At 47.9% G+C, this 15,605-nt stretch overlaps 1 protein-coding gene and 1 pseudogene across 1 annotated transcript in view, besides 7 other annotated features; both read right to left on the reverse strand.

Moving 5' to 3' along the window:
- UBE2G1 (ubiquitin conjugating enzyme E2 G1) overlaps nucleotides 1-10,997 on the reverse strand; it is a 97,417-nt gene extending 86,420 nt beyond the window's left edge. The window contains exon 1 of the mRNA NM_003342.5: nucleotides 10,593-10,997. Coding sequence (NP_003333.1) covers nucleotides 10,593-10,638 — 46 coding nt within the window. The 5' untranslated portion in view covers nucleotides 10,639-10,997. The remainder of the gene's footprint in view (nucleotides 1-10,592) is intronic.
- Nucleotides 3,213-3,262: a silencer, noted in NCBI's record as "silent region_8034". NCBI's record gives its function as "represses an Ori minimal core promoter by ATAC-STARR-seq in GM12878 lymphoblastoid cells {active_cell/tissue: GM12878}" and the evidence as "EXISTENCE:reporter gene assay evidence [ECO:0000049][PMID:35858748]".
- RN7SL774P (RNA, 7SL, cytoplasmic 774, pseudogene) lies at nucleotides 8,486-8,775 on the reverse strand (annotated as a pseudogene).
- Nucleotides 9,638-10,417: a silencer, noted in NCBI's record as "silent region_8035". NCBI's record gives its function as "represses an Ori minimal core promoter by ATAC-STARR-seq in GM12878 lymphoblastoid cells {active_cell/tissue: GM12878}" and the evidence as "EXISTENCE:reporter gene assay evidence [ECO:0000049][PMID:35858748]".
- Nucleotides 9,638-11,167: a biological region, named in NCBI's record as "Sharpr-MPRA regulatory region 13848".
- Nucleotides 10,330-11,016: an enhancer, noted in NCBI's record as "NANOG-H3K27ac-H3K4me1 hESC enhancer chr17:4269303-4269989 (GRCh37/hg19 assembly coordinates)". NCBI's record gives its function as "activates a minimal SCP1, AML or CMV promoter by ChIP-STARR-seq in primed H9 embryonic stem cells {active_cell/tissue: H9 hESC(primed)}" and the evidence as "EXISTENCE:reporter gene assay evidence [ECO:0000049][PMID:30033119]".
- Nucleotides 10,468-11,167: a silencer, noted in NCBI's record as "silent region_8036". NCBI's record gives its function as "represses an Ori minimal core promoter by ATAC-STARR-seq in GM12878 lymphoblastoid cells {active_cell/tissue: GM12878}" and the evidence as "EXISTENCE:reporter gene assay evidence [ECO:0000049][PMID:35858748]".
- Nucleotides 10,836-11,130: an enhancer, noted in NCBI's record as "tiled region #13848; HepG2 Activating DNase unmatched - State 1:Tss". NCBI's record gives its function as "activates a minimal TATA promoter and a strong SV40 promoter by Sharpr-MPRA in HepG2 cells {active_cell/tissue: HepG2}" and the evidence as "EXISTENCE:reporter gene assay evidence [ECO:0000049][PMID:27701403]".
- Nucleotides 14,069-14,118: an enhancer, noted in NCBI's record as "active region_11538". NCBI's record gives its function as "activates an Ori minimal core promoter by ATAC-STARR-seq in GM12878 lymphoblastoid cells {active_cell/tissue: GM12878}" and the evidence as "EXISTENCE:reporter gene assay evidence [ECO:0000049][PMID:35858748]".

A 15,605-nucleotide genomic window follows, 5' to 3' on the forward strand; every position in this document is an offset into this window, starting at 1 on the left:
GGCTGCTCTGCCTATGGAGTAGCCATTCTTTTTTTTTTTTTCTGAGACGGAATTTCTTGTTCCCCAGGCTGGAGTGCAGTGGCATGATCTCAGCTCGCTGCAACCTCCACCTCGCGGGTTCAAGCGATTCTCCCGCCTCAGCCTCCTGAGTAGCTGGGATTACAGGTGTGCACCACCACACCCAGCTAATTTTGTATTTCTAGTAGAGATGGGGTTTCTCCATGTTGGTCAGGCTGGTCTCAAACTCCCAACCTCAGGTGATCCGCCCGCCTCGGCCTCCCAAAGTACTGGGATTACAGACGAGAGCCACTGCACCTGGCAGAGTAGCCAGTCTTTATTCCTTTACTTTCTTAATAAACTTGTTTCACTTTAAAAAAAAAAAAAAAAAAAAAAAAGGCCAGGCACGGTGGCTTACGCCTGTAATCCCAGCACTTTGGGAGGCTGAAGCGGGCAGATCACCTGAGGTCAGGAGTTCGAGAACAGCCTGACCAACGTGGAGAAACCCCGTCTCTACTAAAAAATACAAAAAACTAGCTGTGCCTGGTGGCACACGCCTGTAACCCCAGCTACTCGGGAGGCTGAGGCAGGAGAATCGCTTGAACCCAGGAGGCAGAGGTTGCAGTGAGCCGAGATGGTGCTACTGCACTTCAGCCTGGGCGACAAGAGCGAAACTGTCTCAAAAAAAAAATTAAATAAATAAATAAATAAAAAACGTTGTTTACATAGTGCTACTAAATGTAGCACCTCAAGGTAGGGATATCACATCAATTACCTTTGCGTTCCCGCAGCATCTCAATACAACGGCATATAAGGGCTCAATAAATAAACTTTTATGCTGATCCTTTATTCCATTTTCCAAGCAACCACACAAGTTTAAATGAAGACTGCTATTTAAAATTAGGATGGTAGCTGTGCGTGGTGGCTCATGCCTGTAATCCCAGCACTCTGGGAGGCCAAGCCAAGAGGATTGCTTGAGTCCAGGAGTTCAAGACCAGCCTGAGCAACACAGCAAGACTTTGTCTCAAAAATAATAACAAAAAAATAAAATTAAGACGGAATTTCTGTCTTAAACTACAGGTTTCTCTATTTCAACTTCCTGTTCCTTGAACATGTTAATAGAGCAACCATGTAGTTGTATTTATAACTACAAATATTAAGTTCTTTATTTGAAAAAGGATTGATAATAATGCATGGTTACAGGTGACTTTTTTTAAAAACTTCTTATTCTGAAATACAGTCCCATAGGACAAGGGGGAACTGTACAGAAAGGTTTCCTGTAACCTTTACCCAGTTTCTCCCAAATGCTAACACCCTGTATAACTCTAGCACAATATCAAACCCAAGAAATCGACAGTGGTGCAATCCATATACTTTATAGTCCCCCCACCCCTGCCCCATCGGCATTTTCAATTACTTGTGGTCAAGCCCAGTCTGAAAATATTAAATGGAAAATAACAGAAAAAATAAACAATTCCTAAGTTGTAAATTTTGTGTTGTTCTAAGTAGCATGATGAAATCTCACACTGTCCCTCCTGCCTATCACTTAGCAGTGCCTGGTTTCAAGTAACCCTTATTTTACTTAATAATGGCCCCAGAGTGCAAGAGTAGTAATGCCGGCATATTGTTATCATTGCTCTGTGTTATTATTGTTGTTAGACTAACATAAATTAAATCCTATCATAGGTATGCATATATAGGAGAAAGCACAAGGTTCAGGACTATCAGTGGTTTCAGGCATCCCCTGGAGGTCTTGGAAAGTATTTATCCCATGCAGATAAGGGAGGACTACTGTATTCAGATGTCATCACTCGGTTGTGTGTGTGTGTGTGTGGGGGGGGGGGGTGGGTGTATAACTCTATGCAATTTTATCACATTTGCAGATGTGTGTAATCACTATCAAGATACAAGACTGTTCATCACCACAAAGATCCCTCATGTTACTGTATACCACATATCCCTCATGTCCCTAAATCCCTGAACACCACTATTCTCCATCACTGTAATTCTGTCATTTCAAGAATTTTATACAAAGGTGCCAAGACCACCCATAAAGAAGGACAATCTAGCCAAGATCCCACCACTGCACTCCAGCCTGGGCAACAAGAGCGGAACTCTGTCTCAAAAAAAACAAAAAAAATAGACTGGATGTGGTGGCTCACACCTGTAATCCCAACATTCTGGGAGGCCAAGACAGGAGGACTGCTTGAGCCCAGGAGTTCAAAACCAGCCTGGGCAACACAGCAAGACCCCATCTCTATTTTTATAAAAAATTTTTAAAAGATATATGTAGACACAAAGAGAGAGAGACCCTGTCTCTTAAAAAAGAAAAAAAAAAGCAAGCTGTTTTCTATCTATAGTGGATATACAATTATACATTCCCACCAGCAATGTATAAAAGTTCAAGTTTCTCCAAGTCCCTGGCAGCATTTAGTGTTACAGTTTTTTTAATTTTAACTATTCTAACAGGTAAGTAGTGATATCTTACGGTGATTTCAATTTGCATTTCCCTGATGTCTAATAATGTTGAACATGTTGTCACTTGTTTGCTATTTGTATGTCCTCTTCAGTGAAATGTTTCTTGGTGTCTTTTGCCCTTATTTTTTAGGCAGGGCCTTGCTCTGTGGCCCAGGCTGGAGTGTAGCGGTGGTGAAGTCACAGCTCACTGCCGCCTCAAAATCCCCATCTCAAGCGATGCTCCTATTCAAGCCTCCCTAGTAGCTGAAACTACAGATGAGAGCCACCACACCTGTCTAATTTTGCCCATTTTTTTGAATTGACTTTTTTTTTTTAAACTGTTGAGGGTTCTTTAAATATTCTAGATACAATCAGTTGCCAGATATGTGATTTGCAAATGTTCTTCCAGTTTGTAGCTTGTCTTTGCATCCTCTTAACAGTCTTTAATCAGGTAAAAATTCTTAATTTTCATGATGTCCAGTTTACTAATATTTCCTTTTATGGCTCATGCTTTTGGCATCAAGTTGAAAAAGAACTTGGCTGGGCGCGTGGCTCACGCCTGTAATCCCAGCACTTTGGGAGGCTGAAGCAGGTGGATCACCTGAGGTCAGGAGTTCAAGACCAGCCTGACTAATATAGAGAAACCCTGTCTCTATTAAAAATACAAAATTAGCTGGGTGTGGTGGCCCATGCCTGTAATCTCAGCTACTCGGGAGGCTGCAGTGGGAGAATCGCTTGAACCCAGGTGGCAAGAAGTTGCGGTGAGCCGAGATCGTGCCACTGCACTTAAGCCTGGGCAACAAGAGCGAAACTCCATCTCAAAAAAATAAAATTAAAAAAAAAAAAGGAAAAAGAACTCTTTGCCTAGCATTACTCTGTCTTAACATAGAAACCCTAGAAAATATATACCTTACATAAGAATATGATAATGTAATTAAAATGCATGTACATTCAAAAGCAAAGGAAAAGTGTCTCCTGACATAAAGAACTTTTTTAAAAATTCCTATTTGATAAAAGGAAAAGTGTCTCCTGACATAAAGAACTTTTTTAAAAATTCCTATTTGATAAACTTACTTAAAAGCAGTCTTGTTTTACAAGATTAAAGCAAACAAACAACAAACAGCTGCCAGGTAAAAATTTAAGGTCTTTGTTTTTTGTATTTTTAACATATCCCTAGCCAATAGAAGAGTAAATAAGAATAGCTAAAGGAAAAAAAGCAAAGATACAGCAATAGCAGTTTTTCTAAGTCACTGGACATGGGTATAAAGGTTAAATAAAAGGTAAAATAAAATATTTCCGCTTACAAAAATTAACTTGTTGCAAATCTAGAACATAACTTTATAAAAAGAGGTATACATCTCTACAGCAACAGCAATACAGTACAGTATTTCTTCCAGAAGTTTCTATGAGGGCCAGAATCTATCAATGGAACAGCACTGATAAAAACTTCTGATTAGACCGGGCGCGATGGCTCACGCCTGTAATCCCAACACTTTGGGAGGCCAAGGCAGGCCAAGGAGACCATCCTGGCCAACATGGTGAAACTCCATCTCTACTAAAAATACAAAAATGATCCAGGGGTGGTGGCGTGTGCCTGTAGTCCCAGCTACTCAGAAGGCTGAGGCAGGAGAATCACTTGAACCCGGGAGGCAGAGGCTGCAGTGAGCCAAGATCTCGCCACTATACTCCAGCCTGGGCGACAGAACAAGGCTCCATCTCAAAAAAAAAAAAAAAACAAACAAAAAAAAACTGCTGATTAACTCAAATTAGCCCAATACTATCTTGCACTAGGGGGAAAAAGTTTAGAATGTTTTATTGTAACATTTAAATATCTTATTTCCTGAAACTACATTTTATTCTTTATCATTTATCTGTTTATACCAATAATTCATATTCATTACCAAAATTTGGAAAATGTTTGCTTTTTCTGATTTGTACTTTTCTGTACCTGAAATGCTATTAACCATATAAAACTACACTATGTTTACCTTGCCAGATTTGTTTCCATAAGCCCACACTTCCTTCTCTGAAAAGTTATTTCCTACAAACCAATGAAAGGTAACATTAGACACACCCTTAGAGGTCATCTAAATTCTAACAAAAATTTAAATCTAAAAAAAAGGTTTCAATAATTAAGAAATGCCAAATTATTTATCCTAAATCAAACTGATCTCATTAAAAGAGTGCTTAATTAATACTTTACTTGCTTAAAGCAAAGGAATGCCCACACTGTACCCTCCTGCCAACAAAAAAATTGTACTGAAGTACCCAAGACCAAAAGAGGCGAAGGATTGAAACTCATCTTGACAGTGCAATCAAACATTCTTCACCTGAGAAAAGGAAGTCAAAAGGCAACAATATAATGATAGTCACTGGATTATCAGATTTTCCACCCTAGATCCACTCTATTAAATAATGATAAATGCACCTAATTTCACAACTATATATGGAAATATCACAACATATAATGTGTATTAACAAACTATATAATAAAACTGGCCCGGCGCAGTGGCTCACGCCTGTAATCCCAGCACTTTGGGAGGCTGAGGCGGGCAGATCGCCTAAGACCGGGAGTTCAAGACCAGCCTGACCAACATGGAGAAACCCCATCTCTACTAAAAATACAAAATTAGCCAGGTGTAGTGGCACATGCCTGTAATCCCAGCTACTGGGGAGGCTGAGGTAGGAGAATCACTTGAACCTGGGGAGGCGGAGGTTGTGGTGAGCCTAGATCATGCCATTGCACTACAGCCTGGGCAACAAGAGTGAAGCTCCGTCTCAAAAAATATACATCTATGCAATAGACGGGCTGGGCGCAGTGGCTCCTGCCTGTAAATCCCACCACTTTGGAAGGCCAAGGTGGGCAGATCACCTGAGGTCAGGAGTTCAAGATCGGCCTGGCCACCACGGCGAAACCCTGTCTCAACTAAAACTACAAAAATTAGCTGGGCGTGGTGGTGGACACCTGTAATCTCAGCTACTTGGGAGGCTAAAGCAGGAGAATCACTTGAACTCAGGAGGCGGAGGTTGCAGTGAACCAAGATCGCACCACTGCACTCCAGACTGGGTGACAGAACAAGACTCTGTGTTGGGAAAAAAAAAATGCAATAGAGGCCAGGGGTGGTGGCTCACGCCAGTAATCCCAGCACTTTGGGAGGCCAAGGTGGGCAGATCACTTGAGGTCAGGAGTTCAAGACCAGCCTGGCCAACATGGTGAAACCCCATCTCTACTAAAAATACAAAAATTAGCTGGGCATGGTGGCCAGCACCTGTAAGCCCAGCTACTACAGAGACTGAGGCAAGATAATCCCTTGAATCCAGGAGGGAGAGATTGCAGTGAGCTGAGATTATACCACTGCACTCCAGCCTGGGTGACAGAGTGAGACTCCGTCTCAAAAAAATAAAAATAAAATAAAATAAATATATAAAGTACTCAGCACAGTGCCTGGTACATGTTAGTCCTCAGTAAACGTTAGCCTATATAAACATACATACAAGAACCTCTCTGAAAAGACACATTTGTCAGCCAGGCATGATGGCTCATGCCTGTAATTCCAGCACTTTCGTAAGCTGAGGCGGGTGAATCACCTGAGATCAGGAGTTCAAGACCAGCCTGGCCAACATGGCAAAAACCCTGTCTCTACTAAAAATACAAAAAATAAGCCTGGGCATCGTGGCACACACCTGTAATCCCAGCTACTTGGGAGGCTGAGGCACAAGAAACGCTTGAACCCGCGAGGCGGAGGTTGCACTTAGCGGAGATCGTGCCACTGCATTCCAGCCTGGGCCACTGCAATCCAGCCTGGGCGACAGAGCAAGACTGTCTCAAAAAAAAAAAAAAAAAAAAAAGACATATTTGTCAATGATGGGTTGCTTCCACAAAAAGAACTTATGGCCAGGGTGAAAAGACTATGTTTTTTTGTACTCTTTGCATTTTTAACCAATGCTTATAATACCTTTTCAAAAGATAAAATGTTTTAAAAGTATCTCCTGTGCTGAGGGATTTTTTAGTGTTTAACATAAGGCACTGCAAAACTTGAATTGCCACCGCTCAATTTGCAAAGGAGTAAGTCATAGTCTAATAATATCCACAGAGAAATACACAACCTATCTGATTTCATGAATCTGTTAGGTGTCTTTATTTGCTTAACAATTAGCCATAATGGTCTTCTCTGAAACATTTTAACTCAGTAATCTTCAATCTGGGATGATTTTGTCCCTCAGGAGACATTTGGCAATGGAGACATTTATGGTTGTCACAACTAAGGGAGTATGCTACTGGCATCTAGTGGGTGAAGGCCACGAATGCTGCTGAACATTCTATCTATAATGCACAGAATAGGCCCTACAACAATACTCAACCCAAAACGTCAGTAGCGCCAAGACTGAGACACTCCACAACCCAAGGAACCATTTTGTTCAATTCTGAAAGTAACCAGATTCTTCATTATGTTATCAACAAAACATACCCGATATATTCTACCAAGTAATTAATTTAAATCCTTAAGGATTGACAGACTAGAGGTTCAATAAATGTAGCCATTGTTGTTTTAAGTTTTTGGAAATTTTATACAAAAATTAGCCTGGCGTGGTAGTACATGCCTGTAATCTCAGCTACTGGGGGCCGCAGGGGGCAGCAGAATCGCTTGAACCTGGGAGGCGGAGGTTGCAGTGAACTGAGATTATGTCACTGCGCTCCAGTCTGGGTGAAAGGTGGTGGTGGCTCACACTTGTAATTCCAGCACTTTGGGAGGCCGAGGTGGGTGGATCACCTGAAGTCAGGAGTTCGAGACCAGCCTGGCCAACATGGTGAAACCCTGTCTCTACTAAAAATACAAAAATTGGCCAGACACAGTGGAGGGCTTCTGTAATCCCAGCAACTCTGAGGCCGAGGCAGGAGAATCACTTGAACCCAGAGGCAGAAGTTGTCGTCAGCCAAGATCTCGCCACTGCACCCCAGTTTGGGCAACAAAGTAAAACTCTGTCTCAAAAATAAAATAAAACAAGGCTTTTATTTCACTGTGTGTAGTTATCGAATCTTTCCAATAAATTTGATATGTTTACATTTCAATTAAAATTCATTTGCCTTGCCCTACTACTTTGTACATTTTGAGCATGTTAATTAACATGCTTCAAATTTTAAAAAAAAATTAAAAACAATCCCATTGTTTCTGATCAAGAAGGCAGGAAAACTTAAATCTGCAGCTAAGTAACTTTACAATGAGGCCTGAAAAAATACAAATTAAATTGTTCTCTCCTCTATCTTAAAGTGTATTTTAGTATGCCCCATCAGAAAGTCAATCATTAAGAAAGAGCTTTGGGACGTTTTATTAATATTTGCTATATACATTGTCAAAAAAAAGTGCAAAACGGAACCAGATGACCATCAAAATCTAGAGCTGGTTCACAAACGGATAGGAAATCCTTTCACACATTGCTGCTGCTGACATTGTTATCTTATTTTACTTTCTTAGTAATGCATAACTTCTTTCACACCTTTTAAATGTTTATCTTTTCCATTATGTAAGAATTCAGAGAGGCCGGGCCCGGTGGCTCACGTCTGTAATCCCAGCACTTTGGGAGGCTGAGACGGGCGGATCACGAGGTCAGGAGATCAAGACCATCCTGGCTAACACAGTGAAACCCCGTCTCTACTGAAAATACAAAAAATTAGCCGGGCGTGGTGGCGGGCGCCTGTAGTCCCAGCTACTCGGGAAGCTCAGGCAGGGGAATGGCGTGAACCCGGGAGGCGGAGCTTGCAGTGAGCCGAGATTGCGCCACTGCACTCCAGCTGGGCAACAGAGTAAGACTCCGTCTCAAAAAAAAAAAAAAAAAAAAAAAAAAAGATGCAGACGGGCACGGTGGCTCACGCCTGTAATCCCAATACTTTGGGAGGCCCAGGCAGGCGGATCACCAGGTCAGGAGTTCAAGACCAGCCTAGCCAGCACGGTAAAATCCCATCTCTACTAAAAATACAAAAAATTAGCCAAGCTTGGTGCCGCGCGCCTGTAATCCCAGCTACTCGGGAGGCTGAGGCAGGAGAATCACTTGAACCCAGGAGGCAGAGGTTGCAGTGAGCCGAGATCGCGCAACTCCACTCCAGCCTGGGCAATAGAGTGAGACTCTGCCTCAAAAAAAAAAAAAAAAATGCAATAAAGTTCTTTTTTTTTTTTTTTGAGACACAGTCTCGCTCTGTCGCCCAGGCTGGAGTGCAGTGGCGCCATCTCGGCTCACTGCACATCCGCCTCCCGGGTTCACGCCATTCTCCTGCCTCAGCCTCCCGATTAGCTGGGACTACAGGCGCCCGCCACCACGCCCGGCTAATTTTTGGATTTTTAGTAGAGAAAGGGTTTCCCCGTGTTAGCCAGGATGGTCTCGATCTCCTGACCTCGTGATCCGCCCGCCTCGGCCTCCCAAAGTGCTGGGATTACAGGTGTGAGCCACCGCGCCCGGCCCTTCTTTTTTTTGAACAGAGTCTCGCTCTGTTGCCCAGGCTGGAAAGCAATGGCGCGATCTCAGCTCACTGCAACGATGCCTCCCGCGTTCAAGCAATTCTCCCGCCTCAGCCTCCTGAGTAGCTGGGATTACAGGCGCCCTCCGCCACGCCCGAATAATTTTTTGTATTTTTAGTAGTGACGGGGGTTTCACCACTTTGGCCAGGCTGGCCCTGAACTCCTGTCCTAAGGTGATCCGCCAGCCTCGGCCTCCCGAAGTGCTGGGATTACAGGCGTGAGCCAGCGCGCCCGGCCTCAGTGCTTTTCCAGCACATAATTTTTATGAGTATCCTGTAGTATCATTAGAACTTCTCCATTTACTGCAAGCTAACTCCCCCTGAGCATCTAGAACTTTAATACTTGTCCAAACCTGCTTGCTCATGGTCTAATAATAAACCCAATTATACAATCTGTAAGAACCCCTGACAACCTTTTCCTTAAGAAGCCATAAAGGTGATTTAACGAACACCTCAAACTCTTAGTAAATGTATTTCAAAAACAGATTTCATCACTCCAGTCTTTGGCTTCTGCTGAGGGCTAGAGGCTACTGGTTTTAGAGTGGGTAGGGGGAAGATCGCTTGAACTGAGAATGACACACGCCGGGTGTTGTACAGCAGGGGTAAGTGCTGGTTCATTTCTCTTTAAATCTGGCAGCACGTGGGGCTGCATTGTGAAGCCACCAACCCGCCTCCCCCCTTCCACTCCGCACACGGACGTCTCCACTGCGCATGCTCCGCGCACACAGTCCTAGCAGAGTAGGAGCCAACCCCCTAAAAAGTCAACCTGGAAGCCGCAAACGGCCGGAGGCCGGGACAATGGGGGAGGGGGGCCGCAGGCTCCTCGGGGAGGCCGACCCGGCCGCCGCCCCGGGCCAGAGCCTGCGGGCGCAGCTCCGGGGTTTGCAGGCCTGCGCAGCAGCCGGAATCGCGGCGAGCACAAAGCCCGGAGCCGGCCAGCGAGCGGCTCTCCCCGCGGCCCGCTCCTACCCTCCCCCAGCCGGGCGGCGCAGCCGGAGCCCGTGCCAGGCGGAGGCAGGCGAGGCGGCGATCCGCACTCCGCCAGGGTCTCCGGCACCCTCGCGCCCGCGTGGAGGCCGCCGAGGCCAGCGCTTTTGTTGTCGGCCCCAACTCCGCGGACCCAGCGCCGCCCGGGGAGAAGTTTTGTGCGCCTCACCTATCCCGCCAGGGCCGGTCCCTTCCGCCCGCCCTCAGACACCGAGCCGGGGACTCGCAGCCGCACTGGGTCCGGACGCTCCAGCCGGCCCCGAAGGTCCGGCGGCCCCGGCAGCACCTGAACCCGGGACCCGCCCCTCCAAGCTGGCGGCCCCGGCCTGGGGACCCGCACACAGCCCCTCCCCCGCAACGTCCTACAGAACGGTGGGGGAGGGGACCTCCTCCTCTCCGACCCCCCGGGCGCCAGGCCCAGTCCCTGGGCCGGAGCTGGGTCGCGTCCCCGCCCCCAGTGCCCTCCAAGAGCCGGGCGAGAACGGCTGGGCCCGGCCGGGACCGGAGCCTCGAGGTCCCCACCCTCGCAGGCCCGGGCCCCTTCGGCAGTACGGCCGCTGGCCCGGGAGGAGAAGAGGGACTGGGCTGCGGCTGTCCGCGATCGCGGCCGGGCCCGGCGCCCCGCCGCCCGCCTGCTCACCTGCCAGCTGTCTTCGCAGTAGCAGTGCCGACTGCAGCTCCGTCATCCTCCCTGCCGAGGGCCCGGGCTGGCGCCGGGGCTTCCGAAGGGCTGGGGACAGGCTCTGGGGGCGGCTGGAGCGGGGTGTGCCGAGGAACCCGGGCCCCGCGACCGGAGCGCCGGAGCCGAGGAAGGCCGGGCTGAGGCGGCGGGAGCGGCGCCTCGCTGCCGGTGCGAGTCCGCTCGCTTCAGCTCTTTTCACAGCGACTCACGCCCGGAAGGGGAGGGTGCCCGGGCTGCCGCGGCGCGCACTGGGACTTCGCTCGCCCGCTTCCCTCCTTCAACCCGCCCGTCGGCCCCACCGGTGCCTTCCCCCGCCACTGCCTCACTGCGCGCAGGGCCGCTCGGCGCAGGCGCGCTGAGACTGCCGACTTGGGAAGCGTCCCGCCCGCTAGCCCGACCCCTCGGCCTCCCGCCCCGCCCCCGGCGGCGGAACCCCGCCCCTTGAGCGCAGTTGTCCCGTCCGCCGCCATTTTGGGAAGGTCGACGCCCGGCTGCCAGCCCAAGCCTCCGCTGGTAGACGCCCCGCGGACGCCATGACAAAGAGGTCGCAGAGGGTCAAATACAGCCTCTGGATTGAAGCAGTGGATATAGGAGCGAAGAGGCCAGAAGAAGTGGTAGATGTCTAGTCCTTGGCGAGCGCCCAAAAGCCATCTAACACTGCCACATGGTGTGCGAAGTAGGAATTGTTAGAAAGCCGAAGTTAGTACTGGTGTGCCCCATTTTAACCAAACATCAAAATAGAGGCAATATATGATGATAACTCACTTTACATGAAGAGTGCACAAAAAAAGCCACCGCGTCCGGCCCTATTATTATTGAGCCACCGAGACCGGCCCTGTTATTATTATCATTTATGGACGGCAATTCTCTCTGTCGCCCAGGCTGGAGTGCAGTGATCATAGCTCACTGCAGCTTGGAACTCCTGGGCTTAAGGGATCCTCCCATCTGAGTCTCCTTAGTATCTGGGATTACAGGTACACACCACCATGCCCTGCTATTTTTTTATTTGCTTTATAGAGATCGGGGGGTTTGACGGGGCGCGGTGGCTCATGCTTGTAATCCCAGCACTTTGAGAGGCCGAGGTGGGCAGATCACCTGAGGTCACGAGTTCGAGACCATCCTGGCCAACATGGTGAAACCTGGTCTCTACTAAAAATACAAAAATTAGCCCAGCCTGGTGGCAGGCGCCTGTACTCCCAGCTACCAGGGAGGCTGAGAAAGGAGAATTGCTTGAACCTAGGAGGCAGAGATTGCAGTGAGCCGAGATGGTGCCACTGCACTCCAGCATGGCCGACAGAGAGAGACTCCGTCTCACAAAAAAAAAAAAAAAGGAGGGGGGGGCCAGAGGTCTCTCTGTGTTGCCCAGGCTGGTCTCAAACTCCTGGGTTCAAGCAGTCCTTCCAACTCGGCCTCCCAAAGTGTTAGCATTACAAGTGTGAACCACTGCCCCCTATCAAATAGACCAAAGGGACCATTTTGATATTTCACTTTACCAAATCAAGGAAATTTACTTCTATTCCTAGTTTCTTTCTTTTTTATTTTATTTATTTATTTATTTATTTTTTGAGACAGCCTTGTTCTGTCGCCCAGGCTGGAGTGCAGTGGCGTGATCTTGGCCCACTGCAACCTCTGCCTCTCAGGTTCCCGAGTTAAAGCAATTCTCCTGCCTCAGACTCCTGAGTAGCTGGGACTACAGGCGCACGCCTCCAGGCCAGGCTAATTTTCTTTCGTATTTTAGTAGAGATGGGGTTTTACCATGTTGCCCAGGCTGGTCTCGAACTCCTGAACTCAGGCAATCCGCCTGCCTCAGCCTCCCAAAATGCTAGGATTATAGGCAAGGGCCACTGTGCCCGGCCTATTCCTAGTTTCTTAAGATTTATTTTTTGTAAAAAAAAAAAAAAAAAAGATTTATTTTTTGTAATAATTTCCAAATCTGGTGAAAGATCAGGGCTGGATAAAGGTTTAGAAATTGAACCTAATCCTTAAACAGTGGGAGGCCCCTGAAAAGTTTTAACTAGGAGTAGAAAAATAGCAGACTTGCATTTTGAATGTTTTGCTGTGGCTGCAGAGAATTGATGAGGGAGGGAGGGTCAAGACCAGTGCCCTGCAGGCTGTGGTGGCTCTCATCTGTAATCCCAGCTCTTTGGAAACTCCACGCAGGAGGATCACTTGAGGCCAGGAGCTAGAGACTAGCCTGGGTGACAGAGCAAGACCCTATCGCTACAAAAAAGTGTGTTTTGTTTTGTTTTGAAACAGTCTCCCTCTGTCGCCCAGGCTGGAGTACAGTGGCACAATCTCAGGTCACTGCACCTCTGCCTCCCTGGTTCAAGTGATTCTCGTGCCTCAGCCTCCTGAGTGGCAGGGATTACAGGCCTGTGCCACCATGGCTGGAGAATTTTTGTATTTTCGGTAGAGACAGAGTTTCACCATGTTGGCCAGGCTGGTCTTGAACTCCTGGGCTCAAGTGATCCACCCGCCTCAGCCTCCTAAAGTGATGGAATTGCAGGCATGAGCCACTATGCCCAGCCCAAAATATTTTTTTAATAAACATTTTAAAATTTTAATAAAAATTTTTAAAGCCTGGAGACCCTTATGGAGATTGTGGCAGTAACTAAGACTTGGATTAAGGAGTGTCCATAAAATATTTAGGCCTTGGTGGCCAGGCGAGGTGGCTCACGTCTGTAATCCCCGCACTTTGGGAGGCCGAGGCGGGCAGATCACCTGAGGTCAGGAGTTCGAGGCCAGCCTGACCAACATGGAGAAACCCCGTCTCTATTAAAAATACAAAATTAGGGCCTAGGGCAGTGGTTCACTCCTATAATCCCAGCACTTTGGGAGGCCAAGGCAGGTGGATCACGAGGTCAGGAGGTCAAGACCAGCCTCACCAACATAGTGAAACCCCGTCTCTACTAAAAATACAAAAATTAGCTGGGCGTGGTGGCCAGCTAATAGTAGTCCCAGCTGCTTGGGAGGCTGAGGCAAGAGAATCGCTTGAACCCAGAAGGCAGAGGTTGCAGTGAGCCGAGATCGCACCACTGCACTCCAGCCTGGGCGACAGAGCAAGACTCTGTCTCAAAAAAAAAAAAAAAAAAAAAGGCGAAATTAGCCGGGCGTGATGGTGCATGCCTGTAATCCCAGCTACTTGGGAGGCCGAAGCAGGAGAATTGCTTGAATCCGGGAAGGGGAGGTTGCTGTGAGCTGAGATTGTGCCATTGCACTCCAGCCTGGGCAACAAGAGTGAAACTCCGTCTCAAAAAAAACAAAAAACGAAAAAACAAAGAATATGTAGGCCTTGGTGATCTATGGGATATAGGAAAGAGCAGGGAGCACCACAGGTGACTCTCCTGACCCGGGTGACTGGGTGCCATTGGTATGACAGACCAAGTCCAAGGAGTGGGTCTCGCTTTGTTGGTTAGGCTGGTCTCAAACTGGTCTCAAGCGATCCTCCCGCCTTGGCCTCCCAGAGTGCTGGGATTACACGCGTGAGCCACTGCACCTGGGCCCTCTTGCTTTTGAGGTTAATGCCATCCAGCTGCAGCACTTGCCACTCCCCTTTGGTGCTGTGACCTGCAGACCCATTCATCATGGACTTTTCCTCCTGCCTCAGAGCCCTTCTCTTCATTCTACTCCAGCCCTCCACCTTGGGGACCTAATTACCCACATGAATGACCCGTCCGGTACCCCTGCCTCTCACCACTTGACTTCCTCTCCTTCCCTTCCCACCAGCTGGCCTCTCCGTGTTCCCGTGGGACAGTCTCGCCACCCAAAATTCCACCACACCCCAGTACTTGGTTTCAAGCCACGCACCCTGACCACCATTCCTTATCCTTCCAGCTTACTGGCTTTAGCGTTCACGCCACACAGCTCTTCCACACCAACAAGACCCCATTCTGTGTACCACTTTTTTTTTTCTTTTCTTTTTAAAACAGAGTCTCGCTCTGTCAACCAGGCTGGAGTGCAGTGGTGCGATCTCGGCTCACTGCAGCCTCCGCCTCCCGGGTTCAAGTGATTCTCCTGCCTCAGCCTCCCGAGTAGCTGGGACTATAGGCGCGTGCCACCATGCCTGGCTCTTTTTTTTTGTATTATTGGTAGAGATGGGGTTTCACCATGTTAGCAAGGATGGTCTCAATCTCCTGACCTCGTGATCTGCCCACCTCGGCCTCCCAAAGTGCTGGGATTAGAGGTATGAGCCACCGCGTCCAGCCCTGTTTACCACTTTTTTACTATCTGTCATTTCCTTCCTGTTCTCCTCTTCCTTCTCTTCTGAGCTTAGAGAGTAGTCCATTACTACAACCCTTCTCTTCATACGCCCTCAACAAACTTGGCTGTTTGTCTCCTTCTCTCACCATTTTAGTGCCTGGCTGATCCTCAAGCCTGAATGAACGCTTGCACACCCAACTGTCTAACTATTGCTTTATTTAACAAACATTTACTGAGCAACTGCTATGAGCTAGACACAATCCTAGGACTCAAGGTCTAGGTGTAAACTACACTGACCAGGTTCCTACCTCATGACAGTAACATCTAATGGGACAGAATAGTCAAAAAGTAAACAACAGCCAGGCGTGGTGGCTCACGCCTATAATCCCAGCAATTTGGAAGGCCGAGGTGAGTGGATCACCTGAGGTCAGGAGTTGGAGACCAACCTGGCCAACATGGAGAAACCCTGTCTCTACTAAAAATATAAAAATCAGCCGAGCATGGTGGCACATGCCTTTAATTCCAGCTACTCGGGAGGCTGAGGCACAAGAATCACTTGAACCCGGGAGGCAGAGCTTGCAGTGAGCTGAGATCAGAGTGAGACTCCATCTCAAAAAAAAAAAGAAGTAAACAACTATTAAGGTCAACATTTGTTCAGGCCTGGTAGCTCACGACTGTAGTACCAACACTTAGGGAGGTCGAGGCAGTCAGATCTCTTGAGCCCAAGATTTCGAGACCAACCTAAGCAACAAGGTGAGGCCGCATCTCTAC

Source organism: Homo sapiens, chromosome 17 (genome assembly GCF_000001405.40).
Source record: "Homo sapiens chromosome 17, GRCh38.p14 Primary Assembly".
NCBI classification, from domain to species: domain Eukaryota; kingdom Metazoa; phylum Chordata; class Mammalia; order Primates; family Hominidae; genus Homo; species Homo sapiens.